Here is a 10,026-nt window from a genome sequence, read left to right on the forward strand (position 1 = left end):
AATGCAAACTCACACAGCCACTAGAGAAACGGTGTGGGGAGTTTTTTAAAGAACTGAAAGAACTACCATGTGATCCAACAGTGCCACTACCGGGTATCCACCCAGAGGAAAAGAAGTCGTTATACGAAAAAGATATGCACGCATTTTTTTTTGTAGACACGGCCTTGCTCTATTGCCAGGCTGGAGTGCAGTGGCGCGATCTCAGCTCACTGCAACCTCCACCTCCTGGGTTCAAGCGATTCTCCTGCCTCAGCCTCCCGGGTAGCTGGGACTACAGGCGCCCGCCACCACGCCCGGCTAGTTTTTGTATTTTTAGTAGAGACGCGGTTTCACCATGTTGGCCGGGATGGTCTCCATCTCCTGACCTCGTGATCCGCCCGCCTCAGCCTCCCAAAGTGCTGGGATGACAGGCGTGAGCCCCCGCACCCAGCCACACACGCATGTTTATAGCAGCACAATTCATAATTGCAAAATCGTGGAACCAACCCAAATGCCCATCAATGAGTGGATAAACTCTGGTATATATATATATATATATATATATATATATATATATATATATGTGTATATATATATATACGTATATATATATATGTATATATATATACACACACACACACATATACACACACATACTATATATATACACACTATATATATACACTATACACATATACACACTATATATCATATATACATGTACACAGTATATATATACACACAATATATACATGTGTCTATATATACAGCACTATATATACATATGTCTATAGTGCTGTATATATATACACACACACGAGATATATATATATATATATCTCGTGTGTGTGTATATAATGGAATACTACTCAGCCATGAAAAGGAATGAATGAATGGCATTCACAGCAACCGGGATGGAATTGGAGACCATCATTCTAAGTGAAGTAACTCAGGAATGGAAAACCAAACATCCTATCATCCTATGTTCTCCCTCATAAATGGGAGCTTAAGAAACTGTGGGGGGGGTGTGTGTGTGTGTATATAGTGTGTGTATATATATTTACACACAATGTGTGTGTATATATATTTACACACAATGTGTGTGAGTATATATATTTACACACAATGTGTGTGAGTATATATATTTACACACAATGTGTGTGAGTATATATATTTACACACACTGTGTGTATATTTACACACAATGTGTGTGTATATATATTTACACAGTGTGTGTAAATATATTTACACAGTGTGTGTGTATATATATTCACAGTGTGTGTGTATATATATTCACACAGTGTGTGTGTATATATATTTACACACTGTGTGTGTATATATACACTATATGTCTATATATAGTGCTGAATATATATACACACAATATATATATATGTCTATGTATATAGTGCTGTGTATGTGTATATATATATATATATATATATACACACACACACACACACGCTATATATATATAAAGTGGAATACTACTCAGCCAGGAAAAGGAATGAATGAATGGCATTCACAGCAACCTGGATGGAATTGGAGACCATCATTCTAAGTGAAGTAACTCAGGAATGGAAAACCAAACATCCTTTGTTCTCCCTCATAAGTGGGAGCCAAGTTAGGAGGATGCAAAGCCCTAAGAATGATATGATGGACTTTGGGGACTCAGCAGGAAAGGGTAGGAAGGAGACTAGAGATAAAAGACTACTAATTGGGTTCACTGTATACTGCTCAGGTGATGGGTGCATCCAAATGTCACAAATCACCACTAAAGAACTGACTCATGTAAGCAAACACCACCTGTTCCCCAATAACACATGGAAATAAAATATATATATATATAAGATAAAATAAAATAAAGAAAATACACAGATAATGAGGTCTGGTTGCATTTTGAACTAGGATGTGATTTGCATTCAGATGGGCTGTGTGCCCTGTTTCTTTTTTTGTTTTTTTCTTTTTTTGAAAGACAGGGTCTCACTCTGTTGCCCAGGCTGGAGTGCAGTGGCACAATCTCGGCTGACTGCATCCTCCGCCTCCTGGGTTCCAGTGATTCTCCTGCCTCAGCCTCCCGAGTAGCTGGGCACCATCACGCCGGGTTAATTTTTGTATTTTTAGTAGAGACAGGGTTACACCACAGTGGCCAGGATGGTCTTGATCTCTTGACCTCGTGATCTGCCCGTCTCAGCCTTCCAAAGTGCTGGGATTGCAGGCGTGAGCCACCACGCCCAGCCTGTGTGCCCTGTTCCTTACTGGCTCACCACTGTGGAAGTCTTGTCTCCTGCCATGAGACCTGGGGCTTTCTCTTTGCCCTTCAAATGGCCCAGTGGGTCCCTGAACTACCAGATGAGGCAGCCCACACAGACGCCACATGGGCATCTTGAGGCTCTTCCTAAGAATTCCTTCATTATTTTGTGATGCTTTAATGGGAAATAGACATGAATATGGTCAAAGAGTCAAAGTGATTTGGAAGTTGTTTAGCAATGAAGACAAGAAACTTCAGTCCGCCTTAGTAGCAAGATCAACTAGTTTTGCTTTTCCTGTTTCCCATGAATTGAGTCAAAGCCCGGAAGGGCAGCTTTTCAGAAGAGTTGAGCATGGAGAACAAATACAAAAGGATATCTAGGCCGGGCCATGAGGTCAGGAGTTCGAGACCAGCCTGGCCAACATGGTGAAACCCCATCTCTACTAAAAATGCAAAATTAGCCAGGCGTGGTGGCGGGCGCCTGTAATCCCAGCTACTCAGAAGGCTGAGGCAGGAGAATCACTTGAGCCAGACAGTCAGAGGTTGCAGTGAGCCGAGATCGCACCACCGCACTCCAACTTTGGTGACAGAGCAAGACTCTGCCTCAGAAAAAAAAAAAAAAAAAAAAAAGATATCTAGTTTAACGTGCTGAACGGGATACTCATTACTTACTTAAATAATCACCTAAATTGGAACCTTTCCATCGTAATGGATTGCTCCAGCATTTAGCCTAGCAGAATCCCAGTAAAACGTTCCAGCTATTTCTGCATCCTGTCTCTGACTCCCCAAGACGGTAGCCCAGCTATTCACAGTCAGGTCCATTTTCTTCATGAGGTTAAAATCCAACAGACTGTTGGTCACACGGCGGTTGGAGGCTTGCTGGGCTGGGTCTAATGGCATCTTGGAAGATAAGAGCTGGAGGAATGGTAATATGTTCCTCCAGGTTCTCACGAGCTGTCTTGCTTTTTATTTTTCCTTTTCCTGGTAAATGTGCATACGAGAAATGGAAACCGTAGACATACGTTATGACTGTGTTCCTGTACCCAACTGAGGTGGGGGCTGCTATTTCTCATGGCCCAATAATGAGATGCAGAGGAACTGGGGAGGAAGAGAGGTTTTTGTTGTTGTGTTGTTGCTGTTGTTGTTTTGAGACGGAGTCTTACTCTGTCGCCCAGGTTGCAGTGCAATGGCACGATCTCGGCTCACTGCAACCTCCGCCTCCCAGGCTTAAGCAACTCTCCTGCCTTGGCCTCCCGAGTAGCTGGGATTACAGGTGTGCACCACCACACCCAGCTAAATTTTGTATTTTAAGTAGAGACAGGGTTTCACCATGTTGGCCAGGCTGATCTCGATCTCTTGACCTCATGATCCACCCGCCTCAGCCTCCCAAAGTGCTGGGATTACAGGCGTGAGCCACCGCGCCCGGCCGGTTCAATGAATTTACACTCCCACCAACAGTGTAAAAGCATTCTTATTTCTCCACATCCTCTCCAGCATCTGTTGTTTCCTGACTTTTTAATGATTGTATTCTAATTCGCGTGAGACCGTATCTCATTGTGGTTTTCATTTGCATTTCTCTAATGACCACTGATTTTGTTCTTTTTTATGTCTGCATAGTATTCCGTGGTACATATGTACCACATTTTCTTTTCTTTTCTTTTTGAGACGGAGTCTTGCTCTGTCGCCCAGGCTGGAGTGCAGTGGCACGACCTCGGCTCACTGCAAGCTCCGCCTCCCGGGTTCATGCCATTCTCCTGCTTCAGCCTCCTGAGTAGCTGGGACTACAGGCGCCTGCCACTGCACCTGGCTAATTTTTTTTTTTTTTTTTTTGTATTTTTAGTAGAGACGGGGTTTCACCGTGGTCTTGATCTCCTGACCTCGTGATCCACCTGCCTTGGCCTCCCAAAGTGCTGGAATTACAGGCGTGAGCCACTGTCTTTTTCTTTTTTTTTTTTTTTTTAAGATGGAGTCTCACTGTCGCCCAGGCTGGAGTGCAGTGGTGCAGTCTTGGCTCACTGCAGCCTCCACCTCCTAGGTTCAAGTGATTCTCCTGCCTCAGCCTTTCAAGTAGCTGGGACTACAGGCGCCTGCCACCACCACGCCCGGCTAATTTTTGTATTTTTAGTAGAGATGGGGTTTTTACCATGTTGGCCAGGCTGGTCTTGATCTCTTGATCTCATGATCTGCCTGCCTCGGCCTCCCAAAGTGCTGGGATTACAGGTGTGAGCCACCGTGCCCGGTCAAAGCACATGATTTTATTCTTTTTTATGGCTGCATAGTATTCCATAGTATATATGTACCACATTTTCTTCCTTTTTTTTTTTTTTTTTTTTGACATGGAGTCTCACTGTCGCCCAGGCTGAAGTGCAGTGGAGTTGATAATTTGCTTCACATCAGGGGACTGAATACACTTTGCTTGGTGCATTTTTCCTTCCATTTTTCAGTGCAAGATGACGAGAATGTTGCAACACTAATGTAACAATGTCAGGTGCATGTTTTCTGCTTTCATTTCATGTTTAAATTACATGCTCCCGATCTTCCTGAAAAGGACTCTTACAAAGTTTACCCATTGAACACACGGTTTCAAATTTCTCTTCTTCCTTTTCCACCCTCCCACCTTTCCTAAGTAAAACTGACTACGGATTACAAGGAAAGAAGAGAAATAGAAAGAAAAAGACATGGCCTCAAAACCTAGATTAAGGCTGGGCACGGTGGTTTACACCTGTAATCCCAGCACTTTGGGAGGCTGAGGCTGGAGGATCACCTGGACTCTGGGAGGCTGAGACGGCAGTGAGCTGTGATCGCACCATTGCAGTCCAGCCTGGACCACAGAGTGAGAACCTGTCTCAACAACAACAAGTGAGGAAGCTGGGTCTCAACCCATGTCAGTGGTAGGGCACAGAGCTTTTATGAGAAATCTGCAAACTGTCAAATGCACCTGCCATGATGTGTGTGTGTGTGTGTGTGTGTGGCACACATTTTCCAAACGTGAAAATTCTGTTGAGATTAATGAAGTGAAAATGTACTGCAGATATATTACCGAATGTAGTAGTTTTAGTCATTAATAATTAGCTTAATGTGGCCAGGGGCGGTCCAGAGTCTGGCTCTGTCACCCAGACTGAGATTGCAGTGGTGCAATCTCAGCTCACTGCAACCTCTGTGTCTGGGTTCAAGCGATTCTCCTGCCTCAGCCTCTCGAGTAGCTGGGATTACAGGCATGCACCCTGACAGCCAGCTAATTTTTGTATTTTTAGTAGAGATGAGGTTTTACCATGTTGGCCAGGCTAGTCTCGAACTCCTGACCTCATGATCCGCCCATCTTAACCTCCCAAAGTGCAGGGATTACAGGTGTGAGCCACTGAATCTGGCCAAAACCTCTTTTCTTTTCCTTTTTCCTTTTTTTTTTTTTTTGAGACAGAGTTTCGCTCTTGTTGCCCAGGCTGGAGTGAAATGGCATGATCTCGCTCACTGTAACCTCTGCTTCCCAGGTTCAAGTGATTCTCCAGCCTCAGCCTCCCGAGTAGCTGAGGTTACCAGCATGTATCACCACACCTGGCTAATTTTGTATTTTTAGTAGAGATGAGGTTTCACCATGTTGATCAGGCTGGTCTTGAACTCCTGACCTGATGATGTGCCTGCCTCAGTCTCCCAAAGTGTTGAGATTATAGGCGTGAGCCACTGCACCTGGCCCAAACCTCTTTTCTTTGTAAATTCCGAGTCTCAGGTAGTTCTTTACAGCAGTGCAAGAATGGACCAATACACTTCCCCATTATCTGCAGGATAAATTCAGTTTCCTGGTTCAGGGTCCAATCTGATATGCTTCAACTTCTATTTCAAATATATCTTCCTGTGATCAGCCAAATGGATCTTGTGATCACTGTGTGCCTCATTGTGACTTCACGTCCAGAAGCTTGAAATATTCTTCCTCCACCTGTCCACCTTCTTGCATTCCGCCTGTCCTTAGAGACACAGTCAAAGGCAATCTTGCATCAAGACCCACTGGTCTATGATGCTCTCTTGCCAGCTCATTGCACGATGAGAAGCAGTCCTGCTATAGGAAGAATCCAGAGACCTCCCATCAAACACCGGTCTTCACTCACTAGCTGGCTGAATGAGTCAGGGTTAAAGCTCACAGCGATACCCAGGAGATCCAGAAATACAGTGAGTGGCCCAGTCAAGATGAAAGTTTACTTTCCATCCATGCTCCATCCAATGAGGTGGGCTCTGTCAAGCCTGAAAAATTTTTTCTCTGGTCCTTTACACAAATATTTTGCGAGTTCCCGACCTCCAGTATCTAAAACGTTCCCAAAGTTACCTTTTCAGTTAAACATAACACCAAAAGGTTCATATTATACCCTGTGTACTGTGTTGAATTTTTAAACACTAACAAGAAAAAACTGGCCAGGCGCAGTGGCTCATGCCTGTAATTCCAGCAATTTGGGAAGCAGAGGTGGGAGAATTGCTTGCGTTCAGCAGTTTGAGACCAGCCTGGGCGACATAGTGAGACTCTGCCTCTAAGAAAAGTAAAAAATTAGCTGGGCATACTGGCCCACACCTGTAATTTTAGCTACGGGGGCTGGAGGATGGCTTGAGCCCAGGAGATGGAGGTTGCAGTGGGCTATGATGGTGCGACTGCACTCCAGCCTGGGCAACAGAGTGTGATCCCATCCCTCAATAAAGAAAGAAAATAATGTTTTTATCAATAGTTAAATCTTTGCCTCCAAAAAGTTAAGCATTTTGGTGATTGTATTGGAAAAAGAAAATGCTGAGAAGTTCAACTTTGTTAATATACTAAGCACTGATTTAATGTTAATTATGGAAATGGCATCAGAAATGATTACTGTTTACAAAAACAAAATCAGGTGATGTATATAACCGTCCAATTAGGTGGGCTCTGTAAAGCCTGAAATATTTTCTATCTTGTTCTTTATACAAATATTTTGTGAGTTCATGACCTCCAGCATCTAAAATGGTCCAAAAGTTACCTTTTAAGTTAAACATAAAACCAAAAGTTTCATATTATACCCTCTGTACTCTGTTGAATGTTTAAAGACTAACAAGAAAACACCGGCCAGGCACAGTGGCTCATGCCTGTAATTCCAGCAATTTGAGAAGCCGAGGGAGCCGAGATTAATATGCTAAGCACTGATTTAATGTTTATAATTACAGAAATGGCACCAGGATTACTGTTTACAAAAAAAAAAAAACAGGTGATACGTGAGGTCTGTCAACCGTGGTTGTGTGTGACCGTGTGCCAATAACTCAGTTATTCCCATTTTCTCATCTGTAAAATGGGTAAAATTAAACTTTCCTCATAAAATGTTCACGGGTATCAAGTAAAATCATATGTGTAAGTATCTAGCAAAATTTAAGGCCAATAACAAGCCATTGATAAATGGCAGCTCTTTTTTAAAAAATTGATCTGAAAACAAATTTTTCTTTTTTTTTTGAGATGGAGTCTCACTCTATCGCCCAGGCTGGAGGGCAGTGGCGCGATCTCAGCTCACTGCAAGCTCTGCCTCCTGGGTTCACGCCATTCTCCTGCCTCAGCCTCCCAAGTAGCTGGGACTGCAGGCACCCGCCACCATGCCCAACTAATCTTTTGTATTTTTAGTAGAGACTGGGTTTCACGGTGTTAGCCAGGATGGTCTCGATCTCCTGACCTCGTGATCCGCCCACCTCAGCCTCCCAAAGTGCTGGGATTACAGGTGTGAGCCATTACGCCCGGCTAATCTTTTGTATTTTTGGTAGAGACTGGGTTTCACCACGTTAGGCAGGATGGTCTCAATCTCCTGACCTTGTCATTCACCCACGTGGGCCTCCCAAAGTGCTGGGATTACAGGCGTGAGCCACCGCGCCCAGCCCTGAAAACATAATTTTGTTTTCAAGTGTTGGGGCTCAGGTTTGTCCATCGTCACAAAAACGTTGTCCATAAAATGTAACAATACCACAACACCGGAAAAATGCTTCCACAAGTGGCTGAGGCAGTAATGAAAGTAATTACACCTGTCACTTCTTTTTCTTGTTGCTGTTATTGTTGTCTAAAGTTTAGCTTGCTTCATTCTTTCCCTTAAACTTTTATCTTAGGTTTGGGGGTACACGTGCAGGTTTGTTGTAGGTCAATTTGTGTCACCGCAGTTTGTTGTACAGATGATTCCATCACCCAGGTATTAAGCCCAGTACCAATAGTTATCTTTTCTGCCCCTCTCCCTCCTCCCACCCTCCACCCTCAAGTAGAGGTGTCTCTTGCTCCCTTCTTTGTGTTCATGAGTTCTCCTCATTTAGCTCCCACTTATTTATTTTTTTATTTTTTTGAGACGGAGTGTCACCCTGTCGCCCAGGCTGGAGTGCAATGGCGTGATCTTGGCTCACTGCAACGTCCGCCTCCCGGGTTCAAATGATTCTTCTGCCTCAGCCTCCCCAGTAGCTGGGATTACAGGTGCCTGCCACCACGCCCGGCTAATTTTTGTATTTTTAGTAGAGATAGGGTTTCACCATGTTGGCCAAGCTGCTCTCAAACTCCTGACCTCGTGATCCACCTGCCTCGGCCTCCCAAAATGCTGGGATTACAGGCCTGAGTGACCGCGCCCGGCCTAGCTCCCACTTATAAGTGACAAAGTGCAGTATTTGATTTTCTGTTACTGCATTAGTTTGCTAAGGGTGATGGCCTCGAGCTCCATCCATATTCCTGTAAAAGACATGATCTCATTCCTTTTTCACAGTTGCATACTATTCCATGCATGCCTGTAATTCCCAAGCATGTAGAAATATTACAACACGATCCAGCGGCATAAAATGTGGTTTGAACCCACCCCCATCCTTTGGTTTTTCTCTTTCCTCCCTTCCCTTAACCTCCTACTTTTAGTTTTTAGCGTGCCTCCTTCTGTTTCTTTTTTATTTTTTTTTTATTGAGACAGAGTCTTGCTCTGTCGCCCAGGCTGCAGTGCAGTGGTGCAATCTCGGCTCACTGCAAGCTCCGCCTCCCGGGTTCACACCATTCTCCTGCCTCAGCCTCTCCGAGTAGCTGGGACCACAGGTGCCCCCAACCGCGCCGGGTTTTTTTTTTTTGTTTTTTTTTTTTTTGTATTTTTAGTAGAGACGGGGTTTCACCGTGGTCTCGATCTCCTGACCTCGTGATCCGCCCGCCTCGGCCTCCCAAAGTGCTGGGATTACAAGCGTGAGCCACCGCGCCCGGCCTGTTTCTTGTATGCTAAGGTTTGCATTACAGCTGGGAAAGTGGAGAAGAGACAATGTTTCTCCTCCAACCGAGTAAACAAAATTACGGGGATTAGAATGTGCCTGCTAAGAGCTCAGTAAACGTCATCTAGTGGTTACTAAGTGACCAAACAGGAAGCTGGGTGTTCATGCAGTCATGCCTGGATTCACTCACACTGCAGCCGCTGGTAGGGACAGACACAGCAGGGTTGGGACAGATTTGGTGGAAGAAATCATAAGCTAAAGAGAAACCCTGGCGTGCAAAACAATCCTTCCTGGCCGGGTGCGGTGGCTCACGCCTGTAATCCCAGCACTTTGGGAGGCCGAGGCGGGCGGATCACAAGGTCAGGAGTTCAAGACCAGCCTGCCCAATATGGTAAAACCCCGTCTCTACTAAAAAAAAAAAAAAAAAAAAAAAATCGCCAGGCGTGGTGGCGGATGCCTGTCGTCCCAGCTACTCGGGAGGCTGAGGCAGGAGAATCGCTTGAACCCGGGAAGCGGAGGTTGTAGTGAGCTGAGATCGGCCCACTGCACTCCAGCCTGGGAGACAGAGCAAGACTCTGTCGGAAAAAAAAAACAAA

Source organism: Homo sapiens, chromosome Y, assembly GCF_000001405.40.
Source record: "Homo sapiens chromosome Y, GRCh38.p14 Primary Assembly".
Classification (NCBI taxonomy): Eukaryota; Metazoa; Chordata; class Mammalia; order Primates; family Hominidae; genus Homo; species Homo sapiens.